The 22,011-nt window shown below is 43.6% G+C and overlaps 1 long non-coding RNA gene across 1 annotated transcript in view, besides 1 other annotated feature; it reads left to right on the top strand.

Annotated features, from left to right (window-relative positions):
• The first annotated feature begins 6,181 nt into the window (after positions 1-6,181).
• The window catches only part of LOC105370854 (uncharacterized), a 54,788-nt gene continuing 38,958 nt past the window's right edge, over positions 6,182-22,011 (top strand). The window contains exon 1 of the long non-coding RNA XR_007064671.1: positions 6,182-6,269. This is a non-coding gene — a long non-coding RNA (uncharacterized LOC105370854). The remainder of the gene's footprint in view (positions 6,270-22,011) is intronic.
• Positions 14,013-14,851: an enhancer, noted in NCBI's record as "H3K4me1 hESC enhancer chr15:63167575-63168413 (GRCh37/hg19 assembly coordinates)". NCBI's record gives its function as "activates a minimal SCP1, AML or CMV promoter by ChIP-STARR-seq in naive H9 embryonic stem cells {active_cell/tissue: H9 hESC(naive)}" and the evidence as "EXISTENCE:reporter gene assay evidence [ECO:0000049][PMID:30033119]".

Here is a 22,011-nt window from a genome sequence, read left to right as displayed (position 1 = left end):
ACTAACGTGGTTAGAACTCCTTTGTATTAATGCTGAATTCACAAACTCCCCTGCCCTCAATGGTTCATGAAATTCTGAAACACACAAGTGGAAGACCTCAGAGTTACTGCAATCCCCCTGACTGGACCTCTACAAGCTGTAAAGAGTCCCTCCACAACATGTTCAGAAAACACAAGTGGGATGAAGTTCTGGGATATAAGAGTACAATAGCTTCAAGCTCTGTACCTCCTCCAAGCCTCTGCTCACACAGTTCCCATCTTCTAGGAAACACCCTTCCCCGCTTCCCACTTGGCCAACATGTAGCATTCTCAAGGGCCAGCTAATGTCCACAAAATTCATCTTGTGATCAGTGTTGGGAAAGACCTTAAATATCATCTGGTTCTAGGAGCTACTCCTTTCTAAAATTGAATTTCTTCTATAATTTCTAGGCAGAGTTGAAATACCATTGGTGACTGGGGGCTCAATCTCCTGAAGACAACCCATTTTATCTTCATATAGCTTTATTTTTATTAATGATAATTACTACTATTTGTTGCAATTCAACTTATAGTAGTTGACAAATGTTACATGAATGTAATTCTCACAACAACCTTACGAAGGAAGTATCTCTATTGTCTTCTCATCTCATTTTACAGAAGAGAAGATCAAGTCTGAGGGAGGCTCAAGGACCTGCCCACGGTCACAGAGCAGGAAGCGGCAGAGCCTGGAGGTCTAACTCCAAAGGCTGTGTGCCCTTTGCCGCTGCACTGCGACCTCCAGGTCTTCCTGGTGTGCAGAAATTCTTCACTGTCACAGGCGCACTCAAGATAGAGTTGTGCACAATTGTCAAATGACCTCTTAGAATTCTCAGTGCTTAGAGTCTGTCCTGCACACAACATAGCATGTAATGACCTAGACTTGCAATCTTTCATGGATCATTGTTTCAAGAATTTAGTTTCACTCTCCACCAAAACTGTAAGTTCCTGGAAGGTGGGACCATGCTCTATGCTCATTTTGTGTATTTAATTTTTGTGTGCTTAATTTTCAAGACTTTTTACATCCATTTCAGAACCTATTAGGTGGGTAATTGCGGTTTTTGCCATTTAAAATAACAGTGAAAACTGTAATTGTGTTTGCACCAACCTAATAGAATAGACAGCACTGAGCACATGCCAAGGGCTGATTGATTGAACAGTGCTGGGGAGAAGAGCAGACAAAGAGGCAGGAGCCCTGGATTCTCGTTCCAGCTCTGCCACTACCAGAACAGTCCTCTCCACTTGCCTCAGTTTCCCCATATGAACTGGATGATATGTGCCACAACCATCTTTTGATTGGTGCTCTCCCAGGCTACAGGGCTGGTGGCAAGGCCAGGAAGAACTAGCCCATTACTCAGACTGAATCATGCCCTCATGCACTCACCCAGGAAGCAGTGATGATACCCTAGAACACATAGCTGGAACAGGGAGCAGGACATCACCCACAGGACATAGACTAACTTCTGCTGGCACTCCTGGTCTATTCATCCCTTATGTTCTTAGGCCAGCAAAAAGCAGAAATCCTGCACAATTCACAGTCGTTCAGTCTCTCACTCCTTAGGAAGTTTCTCAATGTTTAGCGAAAGGTTTTTATACAACGTCAATGAGGCCGGGTGTGGTGGCTCACGCCTGTAATCCCAGCACTTTGGGAGGCCAAGGCGGGTGGATCATGAGATCGTGAGATCGAGACCATCCTGGCTAACATGGTGAAACCCCATCTCTACTAAAAATACAAAAAATTAGCTGGGCGTGGTGGTGGGCGCCTGTGGTCCCAGCTACTTGGGAGACTGAGGCAGGAGAATGGCATGAACCCGGGAGGCGGAGCTTGCAGTGAGCCGAGATTGCGCCACTGCACTCCAGTCTGGGAGCTGGGAGATAGAACGAGACTCTGTCTCAAAAAAAAAAAAAAAAAAAAAAAAAAAAAACACCAATGTCAATGAGAAACAACAGAATCTGTAGAAATTTCCTTGGGAAATCCCTTACTGGCTAACTCACCAAGGAAGTAAGGAAGCTGGTGTATGTTCAGCCTTCACCACTGCATTGGGCAATTTTTCATTCATTTGTTCATTTATTTCACAATATATTTTTTTTGGGCCCATCATGGACTAGACACTGTGCAGTGTGGTGTAGATACAATGATGAACAAGACAGGACACAGTTTCTGTCTCAGGGGGCTTACAGTCTTGCTGGAGAGGGAGCTTTAAGCAAATAATTACACAAAGCTTGATTAAAATCAGGTAAGTGCCACAAAGAAAACGTGCATAGAGCGCCAACAGGGAGGCCTGACTTGAGGGTGGGTTTGGGTCGGGGAGGGTTTCTGGGCGGAAGCAGCATTTACCCTAGGACCTGGCACATCCAGGAAAGAGAACGTGGTGAGGTCTGGGGGGTGCTCTGATTTCCAGCACACTGTGGGAGACAGGAATCAGATTCCTCATCTCAGCTCCGACTCCCAGTGGCTGTGAAACTGTGTAAGTTCACCTCTTCTCTCTGGGCCTCAGCTTTGGTTTGGTTTTGTATTTTCATTGCTGTTGTTATTGATTTTCCCCATCTGTAAAATGAAGATGTTACTTTAAGCAAATGTCGTGATGCTCAGATAAAAGCCGTGGTTAAGTTGTCACCTTGAAGACTGAACAAATTAATAAAAGGGATCCTTATCACGGACTCTTCCCCTTCATATCCACCGCATCTGTGAAAGGGAGAGTGTCTGAGGGAGAATTTCATTTGACGTTTAGAAAAATGAGAGTGAAATGGGTTTTCCTTATATGGATTCTCCACTTTATAAGCCATATACCCAGATTATATACAGACACATGCAGGGGGCTGCAGAGGGACTGGAAAACCTGGTCCCAGGTGGCCTGTGGACGGGAAAGCCAGCAGACGTGTGAGGGGAGAAAAGAGCTTATTAAACAAACCTCACTGGCAGCCCTTCTCCTCATCTCTTTTCCAGATGAGCCTGAAAATGCTCCGCCAAGAATTCTAATGAGAAACAGATTTCCTCTGGCTCAGCCTGTCCTTCACCTGCAGACTTCTAAGCAGAGATACTGCTGTCCACTCCTGCCGAGAGTCCAAGGGGGGTTTGTTTTAAATTCTCTTCTGCAGCAATTGGAGCTTTGAACGTTTGAGAACACATTTCAGATTTCTCTTCTTTTATACTTTAGCCAAAAAGCACGGGGTCAAAATATGAAAGGAAGCAAACACAGTCATTTGGTGGAGGGTTGGGGCTAATCACCCCGAAGTCCTGGTCGTTCATCAGCAAGCCCTTAAGTTGAAAGTGCAGGGATCCCAGTTTGCACGGAGAAATGTTTGTTCTGTCGTGTGAATGTTCCTGTTTGTGGTCCCACCCACAGACTCCAGCGTGGGTCAATGACTCTATTGTGAAGCAAAGAAAGCCAAAGCAAGACCTTAGCCAGAAAGATGTGAAAGTGGGTTTTGTCCCTTTAACCTGAAACAGACGTTATGAAAGAGATTAGTCAACCTCTACTATGTGGGCTCAGGAAATGTCCTGAATTTTCATAGCTTTGGAGAGTTCTAAGACAAACATGGTCTCTGCTTTTGCCCTCGCGGTCAGAACCCCAAGCCTGCCTGGCCCCCTGCAGCCCTGCCATTGTCTCTCACAGCCCCGTCTCTGTCTGTCTTGTTTGCTCTGCTTCCCACAGGCTTTGCCTGCTCAGTCCACAGGGTGGAGGGAGGGTGGGGGCATTTCTTCCAGCAACCCAGCGCAGACCCTCGACTCCCCCTGGGTTTACACATCATTGTGGAAAGAGCGTTCTTTTCATTTCCTATGTCATCCTGTCTCAAAAAAAAATCCTTATTTCTTAAAAGCGTCCCTTCCTATGAGCAATCAGGATGGAGGTTTGCTAAAACATACTTTGGCTTGTGGCTGGGCATGGTGGCTCACACCTATAATCCCAGCACTTTGGGAGGCCGAGGTGGGCAGATCACCTGAGGTCAGGAGTTCAAGACCAGCCTGGTCAACATGATGAAACCCCGTCTGTACTAACAATACAAAAATTAACTGGGCATGGTGGCTCAGGCCTGTAATCCTAGCTACTAGGAAGGATGAGGCAGGAGAATCGCTTGAACCCAGGAGGTGAAGGTTGCAATGAGTCGAGATTGTGCCACTGTACTCCAGCCTGGGCAACAGAGTGAGACTGTCTCAAAAAAAAAAAAAAAAAAAAAATATATATATATATATATATATACACACACACACACATGTATATACATACGTAAATACATTGTGTGTGTGTGTGTGTGTGTGTGTAAATATATATATAAAATATTGGCTTGTATCTGTCTGTGTGGTGGGAAAGGAGAGATCTTGACCTCCCTTGACTCTGCCATCCCAACTTCTGCTCCCCCAGTACCAGACTCCCTTTCATGAGAGTGATTTGCTCTTTGAACCAAGTTTCATCAACAGTCAAGTTTGCCAAGACAAACTCTTTACCTGGAAGGAACTCCCCTGAAAGCCTAGTGTTCAGAGCATGTGTCGTCTGGCAAATGAATGCTCAAAGGCTAAAAACTAACTGGAAAACGACTTCTATTAACAAGTTTGTCAGCCTAAATAACAGACTCTGAGAGGAAATTCAGGAACAGGTATTGCAATGGAATACTCTTGCCATAGTAAACTGTGCGACATTCACAGAGGTAAAGGAAGACAAAGGTTTTTAAAGGAAAAATGAGGAGGATGACATAATTGTTTTGAGATAATTATCCTTGCCTGCAAAGATCAATAACAAAGGTGGTGTCATTCTGAGGTTGGACAGGCAGTTGCTGGGCAGTTGTCCTCACAGAAGTGTTTATGTGTAAGGTTGTGATGGTCTTTGGGCGAGGTTGTGATTTTTGCAGTCTTTTGTGATCTTGTTATCAGGCATTTGTGCATAAGAACCCTTCTTCATGGCCTTCCTGGTTGTATTTGTCAGGATTTTTAACACAAGTGACTCCACTTTGATTCTGACAACTTTCACAAGTTACTTAGAAAAAAAAGCTGGAAGCAAAACTGGATTTTTCATGTGCTCAAAAATATGGAATCCAGAAGCTGGGCGCAGTGGTTTATGCCGGTAATCCCAGCTACTCGGGAGGCTGAGGCAGGAGGATTCCAGTAGCCCAGGAGTTCAAGACTAGCCTGGGCAACATAGAGAGACCCCCCCTCATCTCAAAAAGAAAAAACTGGAATCCAAACATCACATCAAAAATAAAAATGCTTAACAAAAGAAAGGATATAAGGAAATATTCCAAAATGTACTAAGGCTGGGAGGTGTAATGGGATGAGAATGAGCTTTGGGGTCAGGCCACCTGCTTCCCTGGGAGCTCTGAGCAAACCGTTGTATGTCATTAAGCCTCAGTGTCTTCATCTGAAAACAGAAATAAGGCTTCTCCCCATGAGAGTTCTTGCAAGGATTAAATACGGTGATGTATATCAAGTTCTAACGTGGTCTAGTCATGCGAAACTTGCATTAGCTTTATGTTGGACTACTGTTCTGCAGCTTCTAAATTTTCAAGATGTGGATTTTAACTTTATAAAGGGAAACACTAAGCTTAAAATAATTACAACAACAATATGGTTCATGTTATAGGGACATTTCATGCAAGGAAATATTACCCAGATTAGATGTCACATCTGGGGTGGGACAACTTCTAAAAAAGGCATCCTGAAGCTTTAGTAAGATCTAGCCTAAAAATGCGATCATTTTGTCCTGCCAGTAACTGAGGCTGGGACCTAAATCTGTCAGTTTAGCGAGCAGGTTCTGTGTCTCAGTCACTAGACTACTCCAGACAGCACATCTCCAGGATGCTATTGCCTCCCACGGTGATGCAAGGAACTTTGCTTTATGCTTTGAAATATGCCCCCGAAGGCCAAATCCCTCTGAGAAATGAGAGTTCCACCATATCCTCTGAAATGGCAACATTCCTCTCATCCAACGTTTTTATTAGCATCCTTTTGTAACCCATTAAGTCCTTAACAGCAGCTTTGAGGAATTACACCTGTTTTTCATCAGGATTGCAACCATAAGCCAGCACAAACATGTGTGATAAGTTGATGCTAAAATACCATGACACACTCCTTGGATTTACTAGCATTTAATAAATGAAGGAGAAAGCTTTGCCTTTTATAGCCCTGAGCCTCCCAGGCCTAAAGCAGATGGAGCAGTTGACTCCTGCAAAGCATTCATTGCTCATTGCTTCCAAATCCAAGGAACAGGCATCTCGGATCACTGCGCTGTGAGGGCAGGAGGACCCTTCTTTTGGAAAGCGGTAAGTCCAGTGTTCTCAACCCTGACCATTGCTCAGCATCAAGTGGGGAGCTTTTGAAAAATACCCAGGCCTAGGTACCAGTCCCAGAGATTCAGATTTAGTTGGTCTTGGGGGAACTCTAGTAGCCTTAATTTTTAGCAGCTTCCCCAGAAGTCTCTCATCCGTAGGCAAGACTGATATCTACTAAAAATGATTTGGACCACAGGCAGTCTAGGGCAGTGGGAAGAACATGGACTTTGGAGACAAGAAATAATGGATTTAAATTCACTGGAAAGGATAAGCTCTGTTATTTTAGACAAATTTCTTAAATTCTTTGAGTCTTAGTTTCTTCACTTGAAAAATGAGGTTAATAATATTTATCTCTTAAGGCAAATAAATAGGAGTTTGTTATGTAGATTCCCCTGGTGCCATCTTCAGACTGATAAGGATTTAAAGTTATCTTCAGTAATCAACCTTTATCTTTCTTGGTAGAGAGGGGAGGAGAGACGCCTTACGTCCTGCTTTTAGGTTTTTAGGCACATTTTAGGGGAGGGCAGAGAGCTTTTCTTGTATCTGCTCTTTCTCAGTTGCCTTCAGCTCACAACAATCCTCCTGCCAAAGTGGCATATTTTGGGGTGGCATCTATAGGCGTCTCCTATATGAATCAAGACAGAGGGGTATTGGTGAATGGAATGAGAAGAAAGTCCAGCCATAGACCCACACAGGTGTGGTCAATTGACAAAGATGCAATGGTAAATCAATGAAGAAAGGATAGACTTTTCAACAAATTGTGCTGGGATAATTGGATATCCATATGCAAAAGTAACAACAAAAAATCTTGACCCTTGGCCCATACCCTAGGTACCTAACTTTGTACCTTGTACAAAAATTAACTCAAAATGCATCATAGACCTAAATGTCAAACCTAAAACAGTAAAACTACTGGAAGAAAGCTTAAGAGAGAAAATCTTTGTGATGTTGAGTTAGGCAAAAATTTCTTAGATACAACAATATCAGAAGCACAGTCCATAAAAGAAAAATTGATGAATCAGTGTTCATCAGAATTAAAGCCACCTGCTCTGTAAATGACGCTGCTAAGGAAATGAAAAGACAAGCCACAGGCTAGGGTAACGTATTTGCAAAGGATATATTTGACAAATAACTTAAATTCAGAATATATAAAGAACCCTCAAAACTCAATAACAAACAACCTAACCAAAAAAATGGGCAACAGATTTGTACAGGCAGCTCACCAAAGAACATATATAGATGGCAACTAAGCATAGAAAATATCCTTAGCATCATTAGTTATTAGGAAAATGCAAAATAAAACCACTGCACACCTATTCGAATGGCTAAAAAAAATAATGACAATATCAAGTCCTGGTGAAGATGGAGAGCAACCACACCTCTCACAAATTACTGATGGGAGGGGAAAGTTCGGTGAAAAAGTTTGATAGGGTATCTCTGGACTGAAGAAATATAGTACCTTGTTTTCTGTGTAGATGGGCTTGATCCAAAGGCAGGAGTGGAAAGTGAGTGACGATTGGTCCTGAGGTCAACCACAAAGTTAAGTGAACTGCGTTCAGAAAATCAGACCAGTGGTTTCAAATCCAGGTCAGTGGGCCCCTGAGGATTTATCTGAAAAGGTAGTGAGTGGAACTGTGGAGTTATTTTTCACATTTCAAGAAAAAGCCTAAGGAAAATCATGTTTTACCTGAGATAAGATTCCCTTGGCAGGCTGAGTAAAATCTCATGTTCTTTTACTTTTGGCTGGAATTTCTTTTCTGCTGATTATATCTAATTCATAGAGAATTTTTTAAAGCCAACATGCAAGTTGGTGGATAAAAGTACTTCATAGGAAGAGGCCCAGCAGGAAAAGTTATAGAATGGGGTTTTTGGTGATGAAAAGTTTGTGACTGGCCAAACTAAGCCATGCATTTGAGGATGATGAAGGAACACTCTCCTTCAGCAAAGTCTGAGTACCCACAAGTTTTTACTTGTGCAAGATAGCTTAGGGGTTGTTGTATCTGATGTTAGAGAACCCTCCCCCCGCCCCCCAGGTCTCTTCAGGTCTGTAGAAGCTCCAAATGGACCTGTATGTAATTTGGAGACTGAAAAAAATACAAACCCCTGAGTCTGATTCAACACCACCACGCATCACTTTTTTTTTTTTTTTTTTTTTTCTTTTTGAGACGGAGTCTTGCTCTGTCACTGGGCTGGAGTGCAGTGGCGCGATCTCAGCTCACTGCAACATCCACCTACTGGATTCAAGTGATTCTCCTGCCTCAGCCTCCCGAGTAGCTGAGACTACATGTGTGCGCCACCAGGCCCAGCTAATTTTTGTATTTTTAGTAGAGATGAGGTTTTACCATGTTGGCCAGGATGGTCTCGATCTCTTGACCTCGTGATTCACCCGCCTTAGCCTCCCAAAGTGCTGGGATTAAAGGTGTGAGCCACTGTGCCTGGCCAGGGCACTCTTAATCAAAAGAAGTACATTTCCAGGGCTGAAACTGAGCCTCCTTATTGACATTAGCACATCAGTTTTATGATTGTTCATCATAATAAAACAAATCAGGGTTTTGCACCCATGAACACTAGAAAAAGTGACACCAAGCCCTGGCTAAGGTTGGAAGATGTGGAGATTGCAACAGCAACCTTAGATGCACCTGTACGCAAGCAAATTAACATGCCCTCCCCTTCTCGGCTTGCGCAGAGCTCAAAGGAGCTTAACAGGATTAGGAGCAAATACCTTGTTGTTATTTTTAACATTGCTCAACTCTTTTGTAAATCTCTCCATTGTCCCTGCCAGTAACCTCTTCCTAAAGGGAGGCATCCAACCTTAGAAACATAACAGGCAGAGTTGGCAATAATTCATTCGAGGTCTTACCTAGTAGTGGCCCATGGAATTTAGTACCTAAAAAAGAGATTCATAACGTGGTAGAAAGCTTATTGGCCTTGAAGTTAGATAGACCTAGATTTGAATTCTGATTCTGCAGCTTATGAGTCTTGGTCAAGTTATCTTGACCCTTTGAACCTCAGTTTCCTTTAAAATGAGGATGTTACCTACCTCACAAAATTACTGTAAAGATTAACGATAATAAATGGAGAGTCCCTGACATGGAGTCGTGGAAGTTATCACCTGGTAGATGCTTAATAAATGTTGGCTACACTTACACACACACACGTGCACACACTCACCTATATATATGCACACACATATATATACACACATATATATACACATTTAAAATTTAATTACTAGATAATTAGAGGAAAAATAAGATGCACACTCTTTCACTTCTGAACGTTTCTGAAATTGGGTTGTGTCTTTTAATTGATGGCAACCCAAATTTACTAGCAGCAAATAGAGGAATGAGTTGTGACATGGTTTTCATCACTGAGTTATGCAAACTTAGCTAAATCTTTCCAAGGAGATTGCAGAATTGAGAGCTGGGAGAGGCTGCTGTGGTTAATTTGTGCCCTGTGAAAGATTATCACTAGATACTGCACATCCATCTGTCAAAAGTATCTGGGTGACTTCCAAATTTCCAGTGATATGTAATTCAGTTGCAGAGAAAATGAAACCATGAGTTTAACCAAATAGGAAATGCATGCAAAACCTGGCATATTAACTGTCTCTACTAAGTATACTCAGGATGTCAAGTTCACGGGTACAGGTTCCATAAGTCTACATTTCTATGACAGTACTTGCCTCAACTGGGAAGAGTCTTCAGACTGTAAATGTGAAAAAAATTTAGAGTCGATGGTGATATTAAAAAAGAAAATGCTATATGATTATACAGATAAATGTGCATGATATGGTTTGGCTCTGTGTCCTCACCCAAATCTCATCTTGAATTGTAATCCCCACGTTTCGGGGGAGGGACGTGGTGGGAGGTGATCAGATGATGGAGGCAGTTTCCCCCACGCTGTTCTCATGATAGTGACGGAGTTCTCAGAGATCTGATGGTTTTTAAAGTGGCAGTTTCCCCTGCGTACTGTCTCTTTCCTGCTGCCATGTATGACATGCCTGACATGCCTTGCTTCCCCTTCACCTTCTGCATAATTGTAAGTTTCCTGCGGAACTGTGAGTCAATTAAACCTCTTTCCTTTATAAGCTACCCAGTCTCAGGCAGTTCTTTATAGCAGTGTGAAATGGACTGATACAGTACAATATTAGTTGTTTTTAAAAAAGTGTTTAATTCGATATGACTTTTTTTCAGTAAATCTGTGTTAAGCTGATGGTGCATCTTATAACTGATGGCATCTTATAACACATTAAATACGGTCGCACTAAACCACCTCTCCCATCCCTGACTAGTACCACCTGTGCTCATGTTGCTGTATTCTGTGACATTAGCTGACTAGGCTGATTCAAAATTAGCAGTGGCAGGCAATCTGTGTGGCCAGTGAACATTCATCCACATTAATGATTAGGAAAACAAAAATCCAGACCAAAATGAAAGACCATTTCATTTGGCCAAAAAACTGTAAAGGTCTAATAATTCCTTTGGAGAACAGTTTGATATTTTCTCATGAAGTTGAACATCCACATACTCTATGACCTAGAAATTGCATCCCAAACAAAGAGTCGCTGCACTTGCACACCAAGAATCACATACAAGGAAGCGGCTAGTTCCATTTGCAACTCACACAATCACACAAATGCTTTTCTTCAAGACGTCCCTTGTACTTCAGTATTTAGCAGAAGTGCTTTATGCAAACTCCCTATTTTGTCACACAGAATATTAAAAAGACATGCATTCAAGGGTTGAGACTGACTGGAATTAATAACTTTTACTGCTTCGTCAAGATGCAATCTTCAGTGAAATTGGAAAATCTGTAGTGAGGATGTATGGGAGTGAATAATTCAATGACTACTAGTTCTGTTTAGTGCTATTGTTTGATCTGTGTTAAGTCACCTGCAGTTTTACCTACCATTGCTTTTGTACATCAATGTGGAAAAGGCAAATAATATCTTAGAATTATTATGAAAATAGGTTTGATTTTGCAGCTTCCTTGAAAGGATCACAGGGACCCACAGGGGCAGACCAGGCTCCAAGAATGCTGCTGTACCACAGTATTCCAATATATTAATTTATTATAATTTATTCTAGTGTTGGTGCACATTTGGGTAGCTTCCAGTTTCAGGTTATTACATATAGTGTGTAGCAAGGTTTTAGAATATATTCTTCTCCCTGCCACATAAAAGTGTACTTAACCCAGCACCTGGCATACAGTAGGCATTTAATACATTTCAGTCATGAAAATTCCTTTACAGAGGAGTCCTCATTATGCTCTGTTTAGGATTTCCCTACCTCTACCTTGTGCTGTACACAGTAGGATCTCTATACAGATGATAACAAGATATTTTCTCAAAAAGCCATAGAAAGAAATGAATTAGTTATTAGCAAAGGCAGAAACTAGAAAAGTAACTTCTGCCCTTCTCCCAACCTGGGACCCTGGGATGCCTCCAACCCTGGGCTGTTACTGAACTTTTCCATAGCTTAGGAGGAGTAAAACCCCTCGGAGAATGGATGCCTCCTCCTGGCAACTGCTGCCCAATCCCCAAAGTCAGCAGCTCTCTAGCCACTGCAAGGCTGCATGGAGAAAAGCCAGATGTCTGTCCCTAAGGCGTCCAGGCCTCCCTTCCCCAGACACCAGGACCCAGAAAGGCCTGCTCCCTGCCCTCTGGCAGCCATATGCGGGGGTTGGGATTCATGTTTCTGTCATTTGAAACTTCGACCCTTGGAGGAAAGATGCCAAGATGCAGGGATAATTGAAAAGTGACCTCTGGCAATGGCAGGTGTTTCTGGGACGTGCGCTTGACCTGCTGGCTGCTGTCCAGCCTCTCTTGGTTCCTATCTATTTTCCAAGCCCAGCTTCTCCAAAAAGTTCTGCCAATTCTGTGAACACCTCAACATCTTCCCTATAGATTCCTTCTTAGCTTACATGGGCCCACTGGTTTCTGTTACTTGCACCCAATGACCCTGACTCATTTCACACCTTCATTAGAAGCCTGTTCTGAGAATCTGCTCTCAGGAGTGGGCAAGGGTCAGGCCTGCCACCCAGGGAGCCATATTAGGAGTTATTAACATGTTGGGGCAGCCCTTTGACTCCTCCTTTTAGCCCTTGTCTTCCCATTTACCTCTCCGGGCCTCCCCAGATGTCTGTCAGCCTTCTAAGCAGGCAGTACCCATGGCAGACTATGGTGGCATCATGCCCTCACAGCCTCTTTTGCTCCCACAGCATTAGTCATGACCACCCCCACTCTCCCAGCACCTTGTCCTCGCCTCCATGAAGGACAGATCACATTCTCTTGCAGCCGTTTGTTTACTCACCTGCTGTCCCACCTGCTTCTGATCACCTTAGGCCTGTGAGCCATCAGCCCCTGATTCACAAATGGTGACGCAGGAAGCAGTTTACACCTTTGCCAACCCCAGCACCCAAACGGCCAAGAGTGAAGGATAAAGCGTGCTGTTCTCACACTGCCACGGGAGCTTGAGGGCTGAGTACACAGGTCTAAAGAGAGGAGTTGATGTCAAGGGGAAGGTTGGCCTTCATAGCACAAAGCTGAGCCATTTGCTTGGTACAGTGCCTTTCCTTAGATTCCCGAGGACTTTTCCTAGCAGGGCAATGGGAGGAGCTGGCCCCCAAAGGAAGGTTGGAGTCACCCACCAGCTCTCTGTCCAGCCCGAGAGAGCGGCTCCAGCAGCCTCTTAGCGGAATCTCTCCGGACATAGACGTGTGAGGTTCCTCTTTACTAGAGGCAAGAATCTCTGAGCGCCCATGTGAGTGCTTCTCCACCCCAAGTCCACTTCAGAATCCTGTAACTGCTGGGACAGCCAGCCAACCCTGAGTGGCGAGATCATGACTTTGGTTGGAGGGTCCTCTGTACTGTTCCGTGACACTCATGTATCAGGTCTTTCCTGACAGAGCAACTCAATGTGGAGCCCAGTGTCTTCGGCCAGGCTGCATGAGATTCCTTCCCTGCACACCACTCCTCTGGGTAAAGAGCCAGAGGTGATGGCACCTGGATCAAGCTGGGATCCCACTGTTGAGGCCTCATGTGGCTCCCTCTGGCTGCCTGACCCTTTCCACCCCCTGCTTTGGGCCCCATTTGTCCAGCAACAGCCTGTTAAGTGCTAAGGCTTGCCTCCTACCACTGCAGAATTGGGGGCGGGGAGCCCTGGAGGTCATCCAGGCCTGTGCCTGGTAGGACCACCCCAACATTTACCACTGGTCTGGGCAAATTGCTGCTTCCCAGAAGTGGCTTTACCAAGACAAGGGCTAACCTCACTTAGGTCCCAAAAGTGAGGTTAGCCCTCTTTTTCATCATGACCCAAGCCCAGGAAGGGAGGACACAGGGCCTATTACATTATGTCTGGAAAGTTGGAGGGTTTCTTTCATCCAGTCGTGTTGCTAAATAACCTGCTGAGAGGCCACGGCCACATCCCAAGAAGGATCCCAAAGATGAGCTTCACCCACCAATGCTCCTGAGATGGCCAAAGGCAGGCTCTTTACTCCAGAAACCAGGAACAGGAGGCATAGGGAGAGAGAGATTTGAGTATTAAATTTAAATCTCTCCATTTAAGTTTAAATTTAATATTTAATTAAATTTAAATTTAGAAAAGAAAATTAAAATGAAACATTGCTTAGCTGATTGAAACTCCTGATTTGTGTGTTTCTAAGCTCAGAGAATGATCCCTCGAGGACTCATGGCTGGTGGCCACCAGTGATGAGACAAAGGCAAGAGAGGGGCCCTGGGCTCACTACACTTCTAGCCTCAGTGCCCTGCACCATTTCTGCTCTGCACCTCACCCCAAAAATGCCAGACAGCAGAGGGAACCCTGGGCTGAGACGGAGACCTGGGACCTAGTGCCAGCTCTCCCATGGAGTGACCTTAGACACCCCGTTTCATGCACCAAGCCTCAGCTTCCTCATCTATAAAGAAGAAGGACAATGGGCTATCACTTGCAAACCCTGTAAAGTTTTTGTTAAGCTCCAGCAAGACAGGGTATGAGAAGTGTGCAGTGGGAAGAACTTCACAATGCGAGCTATTGTTAGTGTTATTTTTGCTCATAGAGGGTGGCCATCCCTGCCTGGGAGGTGGCATGAGGAGTATGCCAGGCTGGCAGGAAATGCCGTGGCCATGGGCATGGGGGACCTGGCAGTGGCCTATGATTCCAGAGAGTGTGCCCAGGAGCTAGGTGTCTAAATAAGCAAATGCAGGCCTCCCTGAGGACGTGGACAGTCATGCACCCCACAGAAGGTCTGAGTGGGTAGTTATGGGCACCCCAGGTTTCTGGACCAGCTGTTCCTCCAGCCCGTCTTGGAGCTGGAAGCAGAATAGAGACCAGAGTCTGGGGTCAGGGTTGGGGTAGGGGCTGTTGTGAAGCTGCATTGTGCATTTGCTGTGGGAATGCTGGCAGTCACATGCCTTCTGCCATTGCCTGCCCGGCTGGGTAAAACTGAGCTTCTGTGCCTTTAAAATTGTTTGACATCTTTGAGATTGGAAACAGAGCTCCCCAGTGGAAGGCCAGCAGTAGCTATGGAATGCTATTCTAATACAAAACTTACTCTCGGTGGATTTAAACTGATAATCCCACTGGCAGGCTTTGGAGCGAAATCACCTATTATGGTCCTGGAAAAGGCCCCAGATTCTCTGGGCTGATCTTTGCCCATGTGGGCTAGTGAGAATAGAGCTGTTTTCCCTCTCAGGCTATGCAGCCCCATCTCCCACCCTCAGCTGACGAGACAACCCTGAGATTCTAGTCCGGATACAGGACTGAGAGCTCAGGGCTGGCGGGGAGTCCCCATGGTGTTTTGCTCTAAGACACTCGCTAGCCCAACCCCTTAGGGGTGCCTGGCCAAGCGCTCAACATCAGCAGATGGCAAAGCTCGCGCTGGCGGACAGGTCTCCATTCCAGGCTGCCTCCCTCTCCCAGACCATAATGTCAAGGATGCGGGCCCATTTCGCAGTGGGGGTAAGCCTGGGTACTGCAGTTTCTCATGGCCAGTCAGCTCCCGAGGCGACGGTTCCTTCCTCCCACTGCGGGGACCCTTGTGACCGCCTGGGGACTCTCCAGCTAATCCCTCCTGGGCCTGGCCCTCCCATGGTCAAGTCCTCTGTTCCAACGGAGGCTCTGGAGGCAGAGAGAGCAGGGTTAAATCCTGGTCTGCAAGATTACTTAGGGCAAGTTACTTAGGCCTTTCTGATCTTTAGTTTCTTCCCCTGTCAAATGGGTATAGTAATCACACACATTTCAGTGTTAAGAGAATGAAATGAGCTAGACTAGAATCAACAGCCTAGCACGGTGGCTCTCAAAGTGTGGTCCAGGAGTCCGCAAGACCCTTTCAGGGTAGCTTTGAGGTCAACACTGTTTTCATGAAAATACCAAGATGTTATTTGTCTTTTTACTCTCATTTTCTCACCCTCATGGTTTCCAAAGGCTACTGGCTCTGACAGCTGTTGGGATGTGTGCTGTGTATTCTTCTTTTTAAAATATTCTCAGCTTCAATTTATAAAATGATAATGATCCATAAACAGAAGTCTGGGGCCATCAATAATTTTTAAGGGGCCTCAAGACCAAAAACATGGAGAGAACCGCTGGACCAGCACAACACTGTGTGCTTAGTAGGTTTTCTTTTCATTGGCTCTGAGCTGTCTTCCTTGCCCTGTTTCCCCATTCCTTGATGCAGGGCGTTCCTGTCCTTTGCACCATAAAGGATGCATTTTATTGTTCATTTACTCCCAGCCCTACTTACTGCACCTTCACATGTGGAAGGACTCGACCTACCAACTTGATGCCTTGGTAATGGTTGTTTTTCTCATGTTGCATGAGCCCCAGTACCCACAGGCCAGCAGTATTATTACCTCACTATGCTGATTTCATCCTGGTAAAAACAAAACAACAACAACAAAAAAGCCTCACTGAAGTTTGTCACGGTCAGATGAAGACCTGTGGGCTTTCTCTGACAGGACAGAAATCGGGGTGCACAGGAATGTGGTTTTAGCCTTGGTAGTTAGGCAAGATCTGCTTTGCTTTGTCTTCAGCCTTTGGAAGCCCACATACTCAAATGCCTACTTCAAGATACTGTGTCTTCCCTGAACCTGAGGGTGATCAATGATCTTGTTACTGTATGTGCATGTTATTGTATTAGGGTTTGGTCAGAAAAACAGAAGCCACTCTAGGTATTTAGAGAAGGAAGAGAGGTTCAATACAGGGAACTAGAGGCATTCATGACCTCACAAGAGCAGCGGGAAGAAAGGGCAGAAAGGCCACTTTGAAATCTGGAAGTTCAGAGATCCCGGGGAAGTGGCCATGAATGGTGTCCGCTTCCAGCAGCATCAAAGTGGGAGATTCTCAAGGAGATGCCCGAACGCCATGCAGAACCCCACAGGAGCAGCTGCTGCTGCTGCGAGCTGGCCTGTCCTGCCTCTCAAACACTGGCTTCTCCTTCTCTTCTGCATCCCCCAAACAAGCGAGAGTAGAATCTAACCTGAAGCCTGCCAGCCAGAGAGTCTGGGAAGCGTTGTTTCCAGGCTTCTTGCCCCTGTGGTTTGGGTGATTGCTTAGGTCAGGGAGTTGACACATAGTATCTCTCATGGTTGCATATCATAGCTAGCCTATGAAATAATGGTGGTGGTATGCACAAAGTATGTCAATCAGATATACTGTTTATTAGTAATATTTGCTTTCTTTTTTGCATTTTCTGCTTTTATATAGATATATTGTTACTATTTGAATATTTCCTCTTAATTTTTTTTTTTTTTTTTTGAGACAGAGTCTTGCCCTGTCACCCAGGCTGGAGCGCAGTGGCGTGATCTCGGCTCACTGCAAACTCCGCCTCCTGGGTTCAAGTAATTCTCCTGCCTCAGTCTTCTAAGTAGCTGGAATTACAGGCACCAGCCACCACGCCTGACTACTTTTTTGTATTTTTAGTAGAGATAGGGTTTCACTATGTTGGCCAGGCTGGTCTTGATCTCCTGACCTCGTGATCCACCCACCTCGGCTTCCCAAAGTGCTGGGATTACAAGCGTGAGCCACCATGCCTGGCCCTCTCAAATTCTGATAAGGATTCTAGGTGTATACTTTGGAGAAAAACAGCTCCTTGAAATATATGTAATTGTATGAGTCAAATGATGCAAAATGTAATGAGGATTGTGAATGCTGTTCATATTATGCAAAATACAAATATTAAATTCACATAGTTTAAAAAATTAGAGGCTAGGAGCAGTGGCTCACACCTTTAATCCAGCACTTAGGGAGGCCGAGGCAGGAGGATCACTTTAGGCCAGGAGGTCAAGACCAGCCTGGGCAACACAGCAAGGCCCCATCTCTACAAAAAAGAAATTTTCTAAATTAGGAAACTAGTTAATAAAAATATTAGGAAAAATGCATTATCTCTAGATTAGCTGAGAAAGAATATTGTCTTTTTTTACTAAGTTTATAGAGTTTAATATTAAGTTTAATAAGAGATTAATAAGAATTTGCATGATAATTCTAATCTTTGTAGAATTTTTTATTCACTAGCATTTAAACATTAAGAACTGTAATTTTTAGCTATTTAATTTTTTAGGGCAAAAATATTTCAAGAATATATTCTACTTGGAAATTCTTCACATTTTATTAAAGATTAATTAAAAGCAGAATGTCAGTTTTGCCACCAATCTCAAAATTTCACAAGGTGGAAAAAATATCTAAAATCATGTAAACATGTATGATAAATTATCTTCAATCCAGAAATAATAAAGAATACTAGCCAGGTACAGGGGCTCACACCTCTAATCCCAGCACTTTGGGAGACCAAGGCAGGCAGATCGTTTGAGCTTGGGAGTTCAAGACCAGCCTGGGCAACATAGCGAGACCCCATCTATAAAAAAAATTAAAAAATAGCTGGGCGTGGTGGCACACACCCGTAGTCCCAGCTATTCACAATGCTGAGGTGGGAGGATCACTTGAGCCCAGGAGGTCCAGGGTGCAGTGAGCTGAGATCGTGCCATTGCACTCCAGCCTGAGTGAGAGTGAGACCCTGTCCCAAAAAAAAAAAAAGAATATTAAGAATATGAAACAAAGAAGTGCTAGAGAAAAATGAGGGGCTCTAAACACACTTTGATCTTCTTAATCATCAAACTTCATAACAACACATTTTTGTAAAAATGCTTTAAGAAGATAACTCCTTATAGTTTTGAATCCTGGAGACTAAATTTTTAAATTGTCAGGATGATTGCTATAGACCACTAATCATTTTCATAAGCTGAAGATAAGAAAATTTTAAAAGATTTTCCTAAGTTATTTTATTCATTCCCTATTTCTGCTATAACAAAGTAACCACAGATTCAGTGGCTTAAAACAACACACATTTATTATCTTACAGTTCTGGAGGTCAGAAGTCAAAAATAGGTTTTATTGAGCCCAGAGTTATTAGCAGGATTGTGTTTCTTCAGGAGGCTCTAGAGGAAAATCCATTTCCTTGCCTTTTCAGCTTCTGCGGGCTGCCTGCATTCCTTGGCTTTCAGCTTCTCCTTCCATCTTTAAAGCCAGCTGTAGTATCTTCAAACCAATTCCCCCACCACCTGCCCGCCTGCACCCCGCTCGCTATTGCTCTCCCTTCCTCTTTCTCTCACCTCTTCTTTTGTCACACCTCCTTCTCTGACTCCATACCTCTCCCTTCCCCTTATAAAGTTTACACTCACTTATAAACATTAGGCTCACTTAGTTAATGCAGAATAATCTCCCCATTTCAAGATCTTAATTACATCTTGAAAATCCCTTTTGCCAAGGGAACACTCATACATTGTTTGTGGGAGTGTAAATTAATTCAACCATTGTGGAAAGCAGTGTGGTGATTCCTCAAAGAGCTATAAACAGAACTACCATTAGACCCAGCAATCCGATTACGGGGTGTATACCCAGGGGAATGTAAATCATTCTATCATAAAGATACATGCATGTGAATATTCTTGCAGCACTATTCACAATAGCAAAGACATGGAGTCAACATAAATGCCCACCAGTGACAGAATGGATAAAGAAAAAGTGGTACATATACACAATGGAATACTACACAGCCATAAAAAAGAACAAGATCATGTCTTTTGTGGGAACATGGATGGAGCTGGAGGCTATTATCCTTAGCAAACTAACACAGGAACAGAAAAAGGAATACTGCATGTTCTCACAAGTAGGCGCTAAATAATGAGAACACATGGACAAAAAGAGGGGAACAACATACACTGGGGCCTACTGGAGAGTGGAGGATGGCAAGAGGGAGAAGAGCAGAAAAAATAACGAGTGGGTACAAGGCTTAGTACCTGGGTGACAAAAATAAAATAATCTGAACAAAAAAACCCTGTGACATGAGTTTGCCTATATAACAAACTTACACATGTACCCCTGAACTTAAAATAAATAAATAAAAAAAGAAGACTGCAAAATCAAAAAGAAAATCCTTTTTACCATGTTAGGTAATATGCTCACAGGTTTGGGTTATTAAAATGTGAACCTCTTCGTAGGCTCTTGTTCTTCCTATCATAAAATCATAAAACCTCTTTGTGGGCTCTTGTTCTTCCTATCATAAAATCATAAAATCATAAAAACATGTTACTGAAAAACATTTTCCAAAATTACATTGCCTTGAGTCAAAAGGTTAGTGATATCATCAAATGTGCCAGCTAAAAGTGAACAACTACTTAGTAATGTAAATATGCAGTATAATAACTGTAGGAGCAATCCAGCAACGGACAGTGCTATTTGTTTTCCTGTATCGTGTCAAAGTTTAACATTTTAATAAGTAAAATAAGATTTTCATAATAAAATTATAAAAATAATTGAAATTTAAAAATAAAATTACAGGTTTATTTGTATATCTCAGAAGGTTTTCTGTGATCGTGATGTTTGGCTTTTGTTGAATATTTATTTTGATACATTGGCTTTCAGTTTTAGGTTAAAATATATTTTGGATACACTTTTGCTAGGCCTTTCCAAATTGATATAGCACAGGGGTGGAGATATATAATGCTATTTTTCTTTTTTCTTTTCTTTTTTTTGTATTTTGTTTTGAGACAGAGTCACCCACTGTCGCCCAGGCTGGAGTGCAGGGTTGCGATCTCGGCTTACTGCAAACTCTGCCTCCCGGGTTCACACCATTCTCCTGCCTCAGCCTACCGAGTAGCTGGGATTACAGGCACGCACCACCACGCCTGGCTAATTTTTGTATTTTTGGTAGAGATGATGTTTCGCCATTTGGCCAGGCTGGTCTCAAACTCCTGGCCTCAAGTGTGATCCACCCACCTTGGCCTCCCAAATTGCCTATTTTTCTTTATTATACTTTTCTTCATGCTCAAAATAATGGATATATAATACATTGAACTTATTTGAAACTGTCTTTCATTGTACATTTTCTGTCATTTGTACATGGATGGCATGAGACTCATCCACTCACCAAGGACAGAGTTATTACCATGGCAATAGATAAAAAGTCTGTTAGTGGAATTTTAAAACTTCTCTCTTTTTATAAATGGACTTTCATAGTTTTAATTTTCTTTTTTGGTGGCTTTTGTGATTTTCTGAGCTAACTTCCTGGAAGGCAGGATTTAAAACCTGGATAACAATATTCCAAGGAATGGCACTGTGATGGGCACATTCCTGGTTTTCTGGTGTTCAGCTGACTGACACTGGCCCTCCAGGTCCCTGTTGATGGGCCAAGCTGAGGGCTGCAGGTGCTTCTGTGCATATCCAGGACATGTTCCTCACTTGAGCAACCAAGAGGCTAGGCAGAGTCTTATTAGAGCAGAAGCGATTTCCTATTTCATTTCCTTTCCTTTCTCACTCGCTCTCTTTTTCATTTTCTTGAGACAGGGTCTTGCTCTGTCACCCAGGCCGGAGTGCAGTGGCACTATCATGGCTCACTGCATCCTCCAATTCCTGGGTTCAAGCAATCCTCCCGCCTCAGCCTCATGAGTAGCTAGGACTGTGTGTGGGTGCCACCATGCCTGGCTTATTTTGTTTTATTACAGAGATGGGGTCTCACTATGTTCCGCAGGTTGGTCTCAAACTCCTGGCCTCAAGAGATCCTCCCACTTCAGCCTCTCAAAGTGCTGGGATTATAGGCATGAGCCACCGCGCCAGGCCTCTTTTCTTGTTTTTTCCAGTGAATGCTGTCAACTTCATTTACTTTTAACCAGCCAAATAAGGAGTTGGAGGCCGGAGCTAAGTCACCCTGTATTTCTTGCTTAGTTCAATATGTTTTATTGCTTTCATATGTTGGCGACCTGGACAGCTGCTTGGCTGGTCTAGTACTTAATTCAGTTCCATGAAGAATAGAAGCTAGGATGTTCGTCAGGCTTTTGGGAATGCTAACAATAGTTTATGGGCATTCCGCCTCCTTCATTATTACAGCTGGGAATAACTTCCTTACAAGCTTCTCCATAATCTTCATCTTCTCTTAGGAACTTGAGGCTTAGGCTGGGGCTAGAATGTGGACCCCCTGGGGCACTCTGTAGGAGTTTCTGAAAGACTTTCTGGCCCCATTACCCAGAGCAGACATACTAGGAATTAGAGACAATTTGGACTTTTTTTTTTTTTTTTTAAATTACGGGGGTCCTTCACCAAGTTGGGTCCAAAAAAGTTTGTGCAGAAGGAGTGGCTTAAGTAATTCATTTGTGTAAAGGTTAAGAGTAAGGACACTACTGGGGAAAGGGATGAGGGAGAAAGTTTAATCCAAGGATGGACTCCAGGGGTAGGGCAAAGGAATA

This window comes from Homo sapiens, chromosome 15 (genome assembly GCF_000001405.40).
Source record: "Homo sapiens chromosome 15, GRCh38.p14 Primary Assembly".
NCBI lineage: Eukaryota > Metazoa > Chordata > Mammalia > Primates > Hominidae > Homo > Homo sapiens.
The sequence above is the reverse complement of the archived record's forward strand: the minus strand, read 5'-3'. Positions and strand labels throughout refer to the sequence as shown.